At 42.0% G+C, this 16,690-nt stretch overlaps 1 long non-coding RNA gene across 1 annotated transcript in view; it reads left to right on the plus strand.

Moving 5' to 3' along the window:
- Positions 1-3,073: 3,073 nt before the first annotated feature.
- The window catches only part of LINC02801 (long intergenic non-protein coding RNA 2801), a 38,663-nt gene continuing 25,046 nt past the window's right edge, over positions 3,074-16,690 (plus strand). Inside the window, exons 1-2 of the long non-coding RNA NR_167752.1 lie at positions 3,074-3,209; positions 10,588-10,749. This is a non-coding gene — a long non-coding RNA (long intergenic non-protein coding RNA 2801). The remainder of the gene's footprint in view (positions 3,210-10,587; positions 10,750-16,690) is intronic.

Raw genomic sequence — 16,690 nt, forward strand, 5'->3', positions numbered from 1 at the left:
CAAAAAGGGTTTTGGAAAGAAACCATGTAAAAACTCATTTGTTTTAACACTCTGTGAGACAAGAGAGATTAAGGAAAAGATGACATCTGTAAGTATCTCACCATCTTCTACTACAGTCCCTGGATGCTGTGCCACTCTCGATTAGTCCTCTGTCTTTTCTGGCAGTGACCCCTCTTGAAACCATTGCAAAAGCTTTTAAGCCAACAATAGGGAGATAAAATTTGTGAGGTGAGCACTCAGGGCCTGGAAGGGGAAGAAAAGGGCAAACAAACTTTGAATGATATTCTGATAAGTTTGGTGTCTTCTGAGTGGTTATATCTGCCAGGAGGGTGGCAACTGTGGCTTATTGATCCTTGTATCTATATCCTTGTATCCAGTCCAGTGCTTGGTAGATCTTATGTGCTTAATGATTGTTTGAAAAATGAATTAATACATTATCTTATTTGAATGTCACAAAAACCTGCTGAGGAAATAAGACTTTATTGCAGACATTGTTGTTTGCCTAATAGGGTCAGAACAATTCCTGCTTCATTCTCCTCTTTCCAGTACATGGGAGACTACACTTTCAGTTGGGTAGGGTCACTCACTGGTTCTGTCCAAAGAAATATAAGGGAAAGTGACGTCTCCAGCTTCTCCCTCTGCTGCTGGAGTAAACCTGAGGCCTTGTGCTGATAGGATGGAGCCTCTGTGAGTCTGATCTTGAGTCACTCTGTGCAAAAAGAAAGAGCCCTTCACTGACTTGTGCTGGGCATGTAGTGCGGGCAAGAGATAAGTTTCTATTGGGTTAATCATCATGTATGTTATACTCCAGCATGGCCTAGCCTGTGCAAACTAACACACTTACCCAACGGCAACTTGCCCCTCTTCATTTCACATGCACAGAACTTCAAATTTTGCCAGCTCTTCTCTGGATGGCCATTGGCTCCAGGGGAAGCCAGGCCTCTCCCAGCCTCAGGGGTGAAATGTGGGTTGTCTCAGACAATCAGGATAATCTCGATCCACTCAGCCAGTGATGATTTTAGGGGTAGGCGTGTAAGCTGGTTCTGGCCAAGATGACACCTGGGGAATTCTGCTGGGGGACCTTTTGGGGAAATTTTTTCATACCCATAGACCAGGAGACAAGAATGCTTCCTTTTCGTGCCCAGGGGCATTATTTTGGGAAGACATGAGGCTTGGAGCTGCTACAACCGTCCTGTGGCCATAAGGGGAGATGCCAACACATAGAAGGTGGCAGACTAGGAAAAGACAAAATTCTCTTTAGATTTTTTAAGTTGAGTATTCTGTTCCTTTTACCTCAGAGCATCCAAATAGATTATCTCTACTTTATCAATGAGGAAAATGAAGTTGAGAGAGTATAAATGACCTGCCCAAAGCCTGTTGGCTTGTAAGTAGAAATCAGGTCTTCTAACTTGGAGTTTTCTTCTCTTTGAATTGTTCTAGGGACAGCAAGAGTTTTCTTTCATCTCCGAACAACTGACTGGGGGTGCCTGCTTGGAGAGTTGTGTTGGGAAGGGTTGTAAGACCACATCCAAAAAGAAAGAGGGTTTTGGTTGATTAACAAGTTCGTGGGCGTGAGGGAGGGCAGCAGTGTACTTTTCCTCATGACTGTAGTATGCCATGAGGCAGGTCTTTCTGGATTATCTTGACTGTGGGAGGGATGGTGTAATAGTTATCTACTACTGAGTAACAAATTTAGCAGCTTAAGAAAAACAGGTATTTACTATCTCACAGTCTCTGTGGGATGTGGAAATAGAGACATGGATTAGCTGAGTGCTTCTGTCTCAAAATTGGTTATGTGGTGGCAATCAATTTGGGGCTGGGGCTGCGTCCTTTTCTGTATCCTCAGCTGGGGGAAGGATCTGCTTCCATGCCCACTTGTGTGGTTATTGGTGGGATTCTGTTCCTCATGGACAGAGGGTTCTGTTCCTCTAGGACAAAGGGCCTCCGTGTTTCATTGGCTGTTCCTTAGGTTCTTGCCACCTGGGCCTCATCATGGGACAACTTACCCCGTGGCAGCTGCTTTCCTTGATGTGAGCCAGCAGGTCAGAGAAGGCATCCAGAAGAGAAGCCACAGCCTTTCTGCAGCCCAACCTCAGAAGGGCCATCCCATCACTTGTACGGTATTCTACCCCCAACAAGCAACAGATGAAAAAAACATGCAGTTACTTCTTCTGTTACCATTTCTGTCATTGTCATTGTTGGCTATTTTGCTTCAAAAATTGTGATTTATCTTCTTGAAGCTCAGTCTCTTTCTGTGCATTCAGCAATAGTATGAGGGCCTGCCTCGTGTCCCCTTTCCATGTCAGGGGCTTAAGCATGGAATAATGGTATTATTGCTTATTATAATTAGTAATTTTAGTTAATAATAACCAATAATTTAGAAAAGAGTGCCACAGGGCAGTGAGTGCCTGTGGTGTTGGCACGTTCCCTCTCACTCCTGTCCAATCCCTTTCACATCACATGTGTGTCTGTTCTGAAATCGAACATGACCAGTGGTCCCTTCGCTGACTCTCTGGCCTCCTTCCCTTGCAGGACATGGCTGGAGGCTGAGTTTCAATCTTTTCTGCCTCTGGGAATTTGCCTGAGAGAGGGCACAAGAAAGGAAAGGAGGAAGGAAGTCATCTGTGAGGGCAAGGTCCATTCTTTAACGTCCGGTGCTTCCTTAGGCACCAGGCACACAGTTTGGGGAGAAAAAGAAACTCTTTCAGGGACTCTGGATAAGAAAAAGAAGGAAGTAGAATGGGTTAATGTTAATCAAAGGGGCTGAAGAGTTGTGGGGCTTTTACTAGCCTGTCAGGGTGGATAAGATGAGGGGAAGAATACTGGACTTTCAATAAAGGGAGGCAGATTAAATTAATCATGACAGGAAAATGAGCAAGAAATGCTTTCACATTGTTATTTAATAAGAAAAATGTGTAATTAACTGATAAAAATAGTTTTTGCAAGAAGCAGGCAGTTAAATAGTTTATAAAGCCAGCCAGGCCCAATCCTCAGCATCCCTGACTGTTAGCAATCAGAATGCTTTTTATATGGTGTCTTTCTTTGGAAACGCACAAACCATCTCACCACAGACATTACCTCATTTGCTTCACAGCCTAATGAATGCTTTATGGCTGAGAAATGATGGAGGAAGCGAGTGAGACTGAAGAGATGAAGAAACTGAGGCACACAGAGAGAGACCCGGACGTGGCATTCCCAGCAGTACTCAGGTTTTCTTCTTCCTAACCTCCTGCCCTTTAATTGTGTTTTAGGCATTGACTAATGAATTTAAATGAAGCAATTACTCATGTCTTCCAAAAGCTGCATAGAGGAACCTGGGCTGTGTATTATGGCTGATATGATACTAGTCTTCCGAACGGGAGGTGGGGGTGGGAAGAGATCCTGGCATTTGCCATCTGGTAAGCCTGTCTTTAATCCTCAGTAAAGTAATGGAATGGAGATGAGGAAAAACATGTGTAAGAATCAAGAGCATAATGCCACCATGAGCAAGCAGCTGTCTGGGTTTTTAAAGAGCAAATTCCATGAGACAAATTTAATTGCATTTTTTAATAGAATTAAAAAAAATCCACAACATTAGTGGGTGAAGGAAATGAAATGGATGCATCCAGAAATCTCACTTGAAAGATGAATTCAACGGGGCTGGTTCTGAGCTGTCTCCTGTATTGAAAGCTGGCTGGAAGGCCACGTGAGCAGCCGGTGGGCGGCCGTGGAGTGACTGGGAGCTGGTGGCCAGCGGCATGCTTCTGGCAGGCTCTGAGATGGGCCGGCGTCTACAGAGCATCATTATTAATGACTTGCAGGAGGTGATGAGCAGAACATTAATTAAACATGCACATGTGGCCAAGTAGGAAATTGGCGGCGAAAACACCAGAGAGGCAGGCACATAATACCCAGGTGCTTGTTTTTCAGCTTTTGTGATCTGGCCTGTGAGACTTGACTTTGCCTCCCCTGCTCTCTCCCTGCTGTCTTGGGCTTGAACGAGATTTTTGCATGGTGCCACAGGAGAAGTGGCAGAGGAGGTGCCCTTTAGAGCAGGCTCACAAATCCCCTTGCCAAACACCAGGATGTGTACAAGTTGCACCTCTAGCCTGATGTGCTGAGAAAGGAAGCCTGCAAAAATTAATATTGATATTAGTAGAGTAATGAAGCAGCTGCAAAGCTGGTTCGCAAATGTCTTGCCCTGTTTTGTGGCATGTTTACATCTGCAAAAGGGAGAAGAAGCAAGAGAGATAGGGAAGTGGAGGCATCTCCTCTGAATCATCGTTAGGGGAGTCTGTTGGTCTAGCTCATCTTTCTCAGAGAAATCAGGATGGTTTGATTTCTGAATACATCCAGGCATTTGGAAATTAGGTGGCTGACCCCAAATCCTAAAAAATACCATGCTGTTGAAGTGAAGGTCGAGCATTATATAGTTTTCACATTCAATCAACATTTAGTTCTCTTCTTAGGAGATCATCCCTAATAACTCTATTCGTTTGGCTGGTTGCTTTGTCACAACTGGATCTTGGCACTGTCCCTATTGGAACTTATATTTATTTGAAAATTACTCTGCTGCCAAGGTAAAAAGAATAGCTCCAGGAGAATGCAGGCTCCTTGCTCTGCAATATCAAGTACTGTGTGTTCCAAGATGGTAGATTATCTTTTGTATTTTATTTAATTTGAGAGCCATTCGCCAAACTCTGTATAAACAAGGAGAAGTCAGTAATGGGGAAGGTGACACCGGCCAAACTTATGTCATTTTGAAATTGTACTGTGGCCAAGCAAGTGTTTAGGAAGAAGGATAAAGACACTACCCCCACCATGGCACCAAAAACAATAACACAACAATAATGTGATTTCCAGCATTCACTGGTTGCTATCAGGCATTATCTAAACTGTTCATACAACAATGCTATGGAGGTAAGTATTATCATTGTTCCTATTTTACAAATCAAAAAATTGATCATAATTGAGACAAAAGCTTCCAGAGTGCAGTGTAAATGTCAGAGATCGAAGCCTGAGTCTCAAGCCCATTGCTTCAGCATTGTGTCCATCACTCAACCTTGAACCAAGGTTACTTGGGTGGGAGATTTGATGCCTAGAATAATGGGTCTAGAGTCCAGGGCCAGACAGTGAAATGCCACTCTTTAATTATTTGTTTAATGTTTCTTTAGAGAAGTTGAGGTTGACTTGAGGGATGTGCAGAGATGATGGGATGGTGGTAGCGCTCTGCCTGCTTTCTACTCTTACAAACAATTCATCTCTGGTCCCAGACTTGCATAATCTATCTAGGAAGGCAAAAGTTCTGAGTTGCCTGGATCTACTCTCCTGAGAATGTACTTCAGTGACCCTCTGATGTTACTTAAGCATGCCTCCTTTTGAGTCTCACTTCCTACCTCTGAGAGTCTATCAAGCCATTCGTTCCAATGATACACTGCATGCTGCCTTAGAGGACTTCTGATGTGTTCAATGTTCTCCATATTATTTTACTTCCGGTAATTTTATTTTAGGTCTAAGTGTTAATTTAGCACCCTTTATAGATTGATGCCCCAAGTCACTACCTTGCTGGCCCTGCCAGAGCCACATCCACTAAGTCTTTGAGTGGGATGGCAGGAAGTAGGTATTATAGGATTGCACTGTGTGAACAAACAACTTCAGATCAGGGCAAAGAATCTGTCAATGAAGACAAAGCCACTTTTGGCCTTAAAGCTGATATTGGATATTTTAGATACCATGCCATGGGAAGGCAATCAGAGATTTTTGTCCCCAGTCCCCAGTTACAGATTTTATTTTGCAGTAATATCCCCATCCTACATATCTTCTAAAGTGTGACTTTGCACTTTGCTATTTGAGAGGAACCTAATATCCCTCCTTTGAATCTGGGTTGACCTTACGACTTGCTTAGACTCAATAGAATGAAGTGGAAGTGACACCACATGACTTCCAAGATTTGGTCAGAGAAGGCCATAAAGCTCCTCATAGATTCTCTCGAGACACTTTTTCTAGGAGAAGTCAATGTCATGTAACTGGTCCGGCTGCCCTGAGACCACCATGCAGGAGAGGCCAGGTGTAGGTGTTCTGGTCAGCAACCACAATGGAGCCCAGCCTTCTAGCTATCCTTAAGGTACCAGACATGTGAGTAAAGTCATCTTGAAACTACCTACCCTTATGCCAACTAAGTACCACTCAGTAACCTCAGTTGACTTCATGAGGAGCAGATGAATCACCCAGCTGAGCCCTGTTTGATTCCTGACCTGACAATTCATGAAATACAATAAAATGGTCATTGTTTTAAGTCAGTAAGTTCTAAGGTAGTTTGTTACACAGGATGGAGACTGGAATGTTTCTTACTACTCATATTTAATTCCATTCAAATCCTGTACATCACTTAAAACACAAAAATAAAACCAAAAATAGACATTTTATCCTGTATTAGGAAATAAGCTGACTTCGGCCTGCATCACCATTGCCCCCTTATTAACAAGCCCTTTAGTAAGGAATTGGGTTCATTTCATGCATGATTTCCTATCTTGCTTTCTAGTCAGTAGAACTGGCTTGGTGTGGAACCAATATTTTTACATGATCCATGACAACACTCATGAAAGTTCTTTATGCCCCATAGTACGGTCTATATGAATTAATCAGATTTTTTAAATGGCATAGGTAAAAATACCAGGCTCAGAGCCTAAAGATTCAATTGTTAGAAAACAGTTGGATTAGAGAATTATTTTCTGAGTTCAGGACTGTTTGGAGTTTCACCAAATTTGGATGACCACTGAAGGACAGCAGGCTTTGCAAATAAGGGTGCCAACTATGAGGGAGCCCATATGGAAATGACTCCTTCAGAATGCAGAGCATTTTAGTAGAAATATTTTTGTGAGTGGATTAGCATTTGTTTTTCCAATGCGGAATCTGTGGGGGATGATAGTTCTTTTCTGACTGAGAAGAAGGCCTTTTTACCTTCTCTCTCTGTGCCAAGGCTGCCTTCTCTGAAACTGTGATTAACATTGCATAAGAAGGGCTCTTAGGCAGAGTCCCACTTGCTCTTCAGCAGCAGCCTCTTCCTTTCCTGTTCTTTGGGCCCCATGTCTAAGCCATTCTTTTTCCATTCTCTCTCCCCTTCTCCCCCACCACACCTTTCCTTTTGCATCCATCCCCTTCTCCTGTGCATCCGCCTAATTTTTCTTTTTCCTGTCAACTCCCCTTCCATCTCCTGAGTAGGGGAGACACAGGAAAGGGAGCTCATGTGTGCAAGGCGATCGTCCTGCGGGGTGCTGTGCTAGAAGCTTTATAGATGTGATCAGGTTTTAGCGCCTGACAAACCTTTGAGCTAAGTAGTAGTATTCCTATTTTTTCAGATGAGGAAACTGAGTCCCAGAGGAATGAAGTAACTTGCTGAAGTTCACCCAGCACATGCTGGAGCTGGGTATGTTTCTAGAACTGTCTATTTAAAAAACCACCCTCTTTCCATTGGTGGCATGACTTGGGGTTTGGAGGAGAACCTCATTTACAGCACATAGTTATGTTTAAATGAACGGTTTAGTAAACCATAGAGTGTTCTTCCACACTAAGGATTTGATCAGTTCAATAAATCCTTTGTTGTCTGTATAAAGTCTAGAGTTAAACAAACAACACAGAGCACAATATCGAGGTTTTGTCAAGTTTCTGGTGAACATAACAGGCAAATATCTAAAAGCTTTCTTTAACAAGGTTTATTTCCATGTGAGAGAGCTGTGGGTTACACTGATGATGCAGGAGCTTAAGGAAGTGAGTATCTATCATAAGCTTAAAAAGTGTAGCATCAAAATGGCAGTAACCAGTAATAAGTGTCCAATACATACATATATACATATATATATATATATATATATTTTTTTTTTTGAGACAGAGTCTCACTCCGTCACCCAAATGGAGTGCCGTGGTGCGATCTCGGTTCATTGCAGCCTCGACCTCCCAGGTTCAAGCGATTCTCCCACCTCAGCCTACCAAGTAGCTGGGACTACAGGCACACACCACCATGCCCGGCTAATTTTTGTATTTCTAGTAGAGACAAGGTTTTGCCATGTTGGCCAGGCTGATCTCGAACTCTTGACCTCAAGCGAACCACCTGCCTCGGCCTCCCAAAGTGCTGGGATTACAGGCGTGAGCCACCACGCCCATCCCAGTAAGCATTTATTGAATAGATAAATGATTTTTTTTTTGTTTTTGGCTGGGGCATAGCTGATGTTTTAGTTTCTGCTGAATTTTGTGACTGTACATCCCACTGTGAGTGTGTGGTGGGGTGAGGTGGAAGCATGGAGGGCAAGGGTGGCTGTGGCTGCCTGGAGAATTGTAAAAGGCCAGGCCCTTACATGGGCAAACCATGGTATCATTCTGGACCTCGATTTTCTCATTTGCAAAGTAAAAGTTGGAGTGAGATGATCTTCTGGGTCGCTCCAGTTCTGTATGTGACCATCCAAAGTGTTACATGGAGACAGAGATATATTATTCAATGTGGAATCTGGGAAACTGGTAGCAAGAATGCTGAGTACAATCATACAGTAGGATTTTTTAATCCAAACATTATTTATCCAACACTAGTCAAAAATGCAATGAAAGGATTTAAAAAAATAAAGAGCAAACTGAGAAACTGCCAGACTATAAAACAAACGCTTTTCCTCTCTAGCTCTTACAGACTCATTCTACCATCTGGGGGATTTACAGGTGTTAAAATTGCCCCTGAAAGGAGCCTTTTTATTTCCTGGGGTGATGGAAATATATTGACAATTACGGGGGGAAATGAGGTTTTTTAATAAAACAATTAAAAGGGCTTAGTGTTTAAATGAAGGAGAATGTAATTTTCCTTTATTTTATCTATCATTAAATTGATATTACAAGCTATTATAAGAGTTTAGTCAAGGCTGATTTGCAAATATAATCCATACTTATGTGGATAGTCAGAGAAGAGGTGGGAAAAGCTCAGTTCCCGTGCACACACGTGTACACACACACACACACCCCTCAGGGGTTTGTTAATTTAAAAATTACGAACACTCAAATGGTGACCAAGGAGTGGCAGAATGTGGAATTAGGGGCATATGGGGAACTAAAGGAGCAATCTCTGTTTCCTCTAAGGAGGCTCTTCTTGATTTAGTGAGAATGCTGTACAATATTTCCTTTTTTTTTAGTTGTAAGTGCATGACTTAATTTGTAAGCACCAATATGTGACATCTGAATACATCTGAGCAGATTTGAGACTACTGTCAGAGGCGCCCTGGGCCTGTCACATGACTCTTGATTGCTCCATTCTCTTCCCAACTCTGTGCCCAGAGTTCTAACTACCATCACATTGGTAGTTAGAAATCGGCCAGGGTGGTAGTATTGACATCATGGAAATCAGCAAATGATACAAATCAGGGATCTAGTTGTGATTTAACTATAATTGTTAGTATATATTTATCAACACATCACTGATCACAGTGAAATAAAACTTACAATAAAATTAATGGGACATACTACATTTGTTATTGTTTGCAATAATAATTAAACATGAATGATTCATATCCATTTGTATGCAGAACCAGCTGCCCTTTACTGAGCCCCTACTGTGTGTCAGACCCTGTACCTGTTATACCTGTTATAGATTGTCTGTAGTCCTCAAGGCAGCCCTAAGAGGCCAGTGTTATTGTCTACATTTGACAGGTAAAGAAACAGAGACTCAAACTGAAAGTCAAAAAATTGCCTGTGGCCACACAGCTAGCTAATTGTTCAATCAGAACTAGAACCCAACACTCCCCACCTGCATTGAGTGAAAACAATGTTGCTGAGATCAGCTCATGAGGTTGCAGGGAGGGGATGATGCTCAGGGAAACTAAAAACCATCAATGCTTCTTGCAAGACTCAAGGATCTCAAAGTTTGGAGGCTGAGCTTCGCCTCATTTCTGCAGCAGGGCCTTCCTGTGAAGAGTGTCAGATAAGATGCCAGCATCCTAGGAGGCCTAGATTCCCAGCTACACTGGTAGTGAGTGCTTGTGAGTTTCCACAGTGCTGAGAAATAGTTCTGCTGGCTTAGCTCTGGTGAAAGATTTTCTTGCTGCCCTTGCCTTGATGTCTTTTTCAGAGGGGTTTTCCTGCAGACCCCCAAAGACTGGTTTTTCCTCTCCTTGAACTCTCTCTCTTCCTTTTCCCTTTCTTATTTGGCCATCTGTGCAGCCCATGTCTTAATCTGCCTGTTCAGTTCCTGCTTGCCCTCACTCTCTCTTACGTAACTTCGTTTGCTCCCAGTGACGTCTCAGCAGAACACTCCCTCTTCCCGTGTTCTGAACAGTCCCAAGGTTTTCCAGGGTAACAAGATAGAGAAAATTTTATAATAATTGACAACAGAGTTTCTTTAAGGGAAAAGAGTCTTTGGTTCCAAGAGATGACTGATGGGTGCTTGGGGAGAGGAGCCTGGACTGGCACCCAGGCCCCTGGGGCAAAGGCAGCTGCTGGGCATGATAAGTGGATGAATGGAATCTAGAAGTGAAGACAGGAAGTGGAGGGAGAGAGCAGAAACCTGCCTGGGGTGGTTCAGTAAAGTTTATAAAACTGAGCAAGAGCTGGGTGAAGGATATTTTCATTTGATTGCAGAAAAGGAAGAAAGTACCGGATTCCACACTGGGATTGATATGTGTGGGACAAAGGTAGCTGGTTCAGAAATTGGAGCTGAAAACCTTGAGAAGAGGTCCCTTGGAAGTGGCAGCAATCTGGAGGAGAGCTTTGGGTTTCCAAAGGCCACAGAATGGGTGGGAGGTAAGTTCTGGTCAATTTTCTTCATACCCACAAAGAGCTGGGGAGCCTCTGGCTGGCATCTGTGTTACCCTCAACAGCTACAGCTTCTCCAAACTAACTACCAGCCTGCTCTGGTCTTGACTGGCTCAAATATTCTCTTGCTTCTTCTCCCCACATGTCTACCTGGCCAGTGTGTGTAGGCGTAAGAGAACCAGCTGGTAGTATGAGGATGCTGGTTAGGAAAGATGGAGCACCAGACAGTGGAAGAGAGACAGGGTCCAAGAAAAGAGAGAATCAGTAAAGAAAGCAGAAGCTCCATTTCATAGCCCTCCCTCTACCATATGAAAGAAAGCAAAACAAATACATGTCCCAAGCCAAAACTGACACAAAAACTGATCCCCCCTGCCAAAAAAACCATCACCACAACAAGAAAACCCCACTTTCCGGTGGTAAGGTAAAGGGAGAACAGGCAACAACAGCAAAGTGTGGGTGACCTCGTTGCACGTGGCACAAACGATGAGCTAAGATGGAGTTTTAGGCCAAGACAGCAGAAGGTGGCCACAGGGATATTTCATGCCTTATTCAGTGTTCACAGGTACACCTAGTGAGAACCCATGTCTTAAATTCTGTCCCTGAGTGTGAAGTTGAAGCAGAAGGCCCATTAAAAAGGGCCTTTAGGAGTGCTGTGGAGAGTTGATAAAGGTGTGAGAATCCTGCAATGGCTGACATCACAAAGAGAGAACTTGAGATCCCCTTTCAAGTCCTGGCTGAGGGTTTTGACTGGAAAAGCTGGTTTTAAACACTGACATTATGAATGCTTGGGATGTGAGTAAAACACCTGAAATTCTTCAGCCAGTTGTGAATAGAGGAATAGTCCCATTTTTTAATGGCTTGACTTAGTCACTGAAGGTGATTTCCTAAACCCCAGAAAATTGTTACAAACCATCAGACTGTGGGTGCCACAGCCCTTAGTCAGTAAAATAGCCCCACATGGTGGGAAAACATTCCAATCTCTCTCCAAAATGGGAATAAAGGCATTCAACAAAATTACTCGGACTTTAAAAACACAATACCATTTCTCACTTTGCGTTAGTGTAGTAACAAATTCTAATGGAGGTAATTCTCAAGTATGCAATTGTATAAACTTGCCTTCTGAATGGAAAGATTGGAATTTAGGCAGCTGACCCCTGGCGTGATGTTTATGATCAGATCCAAGACAGGGCTGTCTGCCTGTCATGTCCCAGTCGGTACCACCCTGCCCAGCATCTATGTTTGCTAAGGGTGTACATATACAGCAAGATCTGAATCAATGAAAACATATCCCATGTCTTTATGGAGTGACCCAGAAAGAATAGCGTTTATACTGACCAAGAATACGGTTCACAGAAGTTTAAGGAGATTTATTGGGCTGCCATTTACTAGCTGTAAAATCAGGATTGTGATAGTCTCTACCTCATAGAGTTGTTGGGAGAATCAAATATGATCACTGTCATAAAACTTTAGGCTAGAGCCTGACACTCAGCAAGTATACAGTATACACATAGGAAATGGTACTAGAACTTTTGTTAATACGTGATGGGAAGTTTCTATGGTGTGGAAAATTTTTAAATGAATGAAACACAGTCCTTTCTTTAAGAATCTCACTGAAGAGGGAGTAGAAGAAGACAGGTCAGTGGATAATTATGATATACAGGTCATAGTAAATACAATGTATAATAATAGGAGTAAATATTGAGTATTGCTTTAGGAGACGTGTCAGTGCTCTGACATAGGGAATCATTAAGGGTGAAAGGGCCATCTACTTGCATGAAGCCTGTAAATGTGAAAGACTAGGTCCTAGCAAGGCCAGCATTGCCATTCTGCTGTCCTAATGATGGATGGGGATTCGTGAGCAATTGAATTGAGCCACTGCCATTACTATTGATTTTTGGGATAGACTTCTCCATCAGAGCCAGTAGGCCACAGTCTGGGTCAGTGGCCAGACTGACATAAGTTTATGACCTTTCATAGGCTTCCCATGTGTCTCACCACACACCCATCTGCCCGGGGCCTAGGATCAAGCTGGCGGTAAAGGACTTGAGAAAATGAGGCTTGAATTAAGTGACCTCAGATCTAAACCAAATGTGGCTGGAACCTCTTTCTTGTTTTGAGAAGGATTTTTTGTTGTTGTTGTTGTTGTTATCAGAGCTTTGGAAGCAGTTTAATGAAGGGCGTAGATGTGGAAATGAGATGCATGTAGGTTTCAATAGTAGCTCCTATTGCCTTGCTCTTTGACCTTAAGAAAGTTTCTTACCCACTTTGAATCTCAGTTCGTTGTCTACCAAACAGGGAAAATGAAACCTACCTTATTAGGATTTGGGGGTTTTGTTGTTCATAACAGCTTCTTCAAGATATAATTTACATACTATATAACATTTCACCCTTTTAAAGTGATTTCAGTCAGTGATTTTTTAGTATATTTAGAGTCATGCAACAATTGCCACTATCTAATTCCAGAATATTTTCATCACCCCCATAAGAAACTCATACCCATTAATAGTCACTCTCCATTCCTCCTTTCCCCTATCCCTCCCAGCAACCACTTATTTCAGTTTCTCTGGATTTGTCTATGCTAGACATTTCATGTAAAAGAAACCATACAGTATGTGGTTTTTGTGACTGGCTTCTTTTACTTAACATAATGTTTTTAAGATTCATCCAATCTTTTACATGTATCAGTACTTCATTCCTTTTTATTGCTGAGTAATATTTCATTGTATGAATATACCATATTTTGTTTATCTATTCATCAGTGTATGGACATTTGGGTTTTCTTTGGCAATTATGGATAATGCTGCCATGAACATTTGTATACAAGCTTTTGTATTGAATTATCTATCTTCAAATCTCTTGGGTATATGCCTAAAAGTGGAATTGCTGGAACTGAAGGTAATTGTATGTTTAACTTTTTGAGAACCTATCTAATTATTTTCCAAAGCAGTTGTACCATTTATAGTCCCGCCAACAATAAATAAGAGTTTCCATTTCTTCACATCCTTGACAAAATTTGTTGTATTCTGTCCTTTTGATTTTAGCCATCTTGGTGTGAAGTGGTATCACATTATGATTTTTATTTGCATTTCTTTAACAACAAATGATATTGAAGATCTTTTGCGTGCTTATTGGCCATTTGTATATTTTCTTTGGAGAAATGTCTATTAAAATTCTTTGCTAATTTTTAATTGGGTTGTCTTTCTATTGTTGAGTTATAAGAATTATTTATATTCTGGATACAATTTCCTCATCAAATATATGATTTGCAAGTATTTCCTCCTATTTTATGGGTTCTCTTCACTTTCCTAATGGTGTCCTCTGTTGCCCAAAATTTCAAAATTTTGTTGAAGTTCAATTTTTCTGTTTTTTCCTTTTGTAGCTTGTACTTTTTGTGCCCTGTATAAGAAACCATTGCCTAGCCCAAGATTATAAAGATTCAGTCCTATGTTTTTCTCTAAGAGTTTCATAGTTTGATTCTTACATTTAGGTCTATAATCCATTTTGAATTTTTGTATATGGTGTGAGGAAGGGGTCTACCTTTATTATTTTGTACATATATGGATATGTCATTGTCCTGGCATCATTTGTTAAAAAGAATATTCTTTCCCTATTTAGTTATCTTGGTGTCCTTCATTAGGTTTGTAGTAATATATGATATGATCTATGTAAATTTCCTGGTATATGATAAGTTTCAATACATGGTAACTATTATTTTATTACAGTCAGCTTAAGATCTATTTAAGGTTTGCAAACAATAATAGCAATAGCAGGAGCTAACATTTTATTGAGTACTGCCTATTCACCTGGCATTTTCCTTCAACAAACTCAATCATGAGATCAGTACTATTTTAATCTCTTTTATTCAGATGAGGAAATTTGAACTTAGAGTGGCCAAAGAACTGATTCAAAGTCACACAAGTAGCAAGCCACAAAGTGGATAATTTAATTCAGACAGTCCTTGGTTGTGATGGAAATGAATCTCATGAGATATGAGTAAGAGGCTTGTTAGAATGAGAGAAACACAATGACGTGTCGAGTGACTAACACAGTTAACATGACTACTGCTAACAAGCAGTAGAAGGTGGCTAACAGCTAGATCATGTGGGTTTGAATCTTGGCTCAGCCACTTACAAGCTGTATGACCTTGGGCAGCTCAATTTGTTCAATATATAATGGGGCTACTTGGACTTCTTTTTGCATGGGCTTGCTGTGAGGCATCAGTGAGTTAATATGGGTAAAGCACTTAGAACAGTTCCTGGTAACATAGGAAGTGCTTAAAAATTGTCAGCTGTGACACTGATGCAGAGCTCTAAATCTGAGCCCAAGCTTGTGTTCCAGAATTTTTCCTACTCAGGGCTGGCTCCATAAGTGTCCAAACTATGCAACTGTATAGGACTCTGTGCTCAGAAGGGCCTTGGACTTGGTTTAATGTTCTGTTGTTAACATCTTGAACTTCTTAATTATTTTTGAACAAGGAGTTATTTTCATTTTGCACTGGGGCCCACAAATTATGCAGCCAGTCCTGGGCAGGGTGTAGGCCTGGCCAGACGAGTTCCCTCCTCCTAGTGATGCCTAGCACAACCCACGCAAGTTGTCTCTTCACAAACACTGTAGAACCTCCTTGGCTGCCCTGAGCTCCAGTGGATCTCAACATGGAGGATAGTGCTGTTAGGTTTAAGTTTCATGTCATCGAAGCCCACGCACATCTACTTGACATTCCTGGTTTATTACCCAAAAGTAAATGAAATGCATCGTGGGCCCCGAATCTTGCCTCTATTATTGGACTGAAAACCTCCATTGACTTCAGCTGGCAGCCGGCACCACTAATTGAGGACAGAGTTTGGCCCCGCGGGTTTTATATAGAAGATTTTTCTTTATTTCTTGTTTTCATGGTTGTGTGTTGTGGGCTGGGGATTATTTTTATGTTTTTCCACTTCCTGATTAGTTTTAGGACTTGTTTATTTGGAGACTGCTTTAATAAATTTGCACAGCAGGGTGAGTTATTAACAGAGTTGGTGTATTTAACCAGGAACTGCCTTCATTTCAGTTTGGTGTTTGGTGTTTGTTGTTTAACTTCAGTCACTTTGTTTCAGTACCAAACCTCTGCCAAAGATCACCTATCCTTGATCTACACACACCTTGGTGGTTTAACATAAGGGCAGAGCTCTGCTCCCCCAAGGCCCTGTACAGCTCACCACCACAGTGCATCCCCATTGCACTTCTAAAGTGTACTTGAGTTCAGATAATATTTTCTTATCTGCTTACCCCTCTAGGCTGTGGAGCCCAAGGTGGGGGGGTCTTGGTCATTGGTGGAGTTTCTGCGCATCGTACAGCTCCTGTTACAAAACCCTTCATTCGAGAAATATTTCCTGAGCATCTATTGTGTGCCAAATGCAGATGCAGATGTGACACAAGCAAGACAAATGGTCTCTGCTCTCAAGGGGCTTACATTCTATGGGTGAAACACAGGTACAGATAGGCAAAGGATTGTAGCAATAATTGTAGAGTGAGATTGTTATTAAAAATAAAAGTAAATAATAGAATACAGGGATACAGTGGTTTGTGGTGTGTGTGTGTGTGTGTGTGTGTGTGTGTGTGTGTGTGTGTGTGGTGGTGGTGGTGAAGGAAGGGCTCCCAGAGGAGATGACTGCTGAGTGGAGACCTGAGGCAAGAGGGAACCAGACATATGCAAATTGGCACTGCAGGCCCAGGGTGCAGCTGATGCAAAGGCCCCAGAGCTACGCTGGCTTGGCTTTGAGGAGCAGAAGGGAGGTAGGAACACAGTGAGCATGAGGAGAGTGTTCAGAGATGACCCTGGCCCTGGTAAGGAATTAGGTTTATTCCAAGGGCAATGAAAACCTTAGGGAGAAATGCTGCATTTTCAAAGAGCACTACGGCTGCTTTGTGGAAAAGGAGCTGTAGGTGGGGT

The sequence above is a fragment of the Homo sapiens genome, chromosome 1, assembly GCF_000001405.40.
Source record: "Homo sapiens chromosome 1, GRCh38.p14 Primary Assembly".
NCBI lineage: Eukaryota > Metazoa > Chordata > Mammalia > Primates > Hominidae > Homo > Homo sapiens.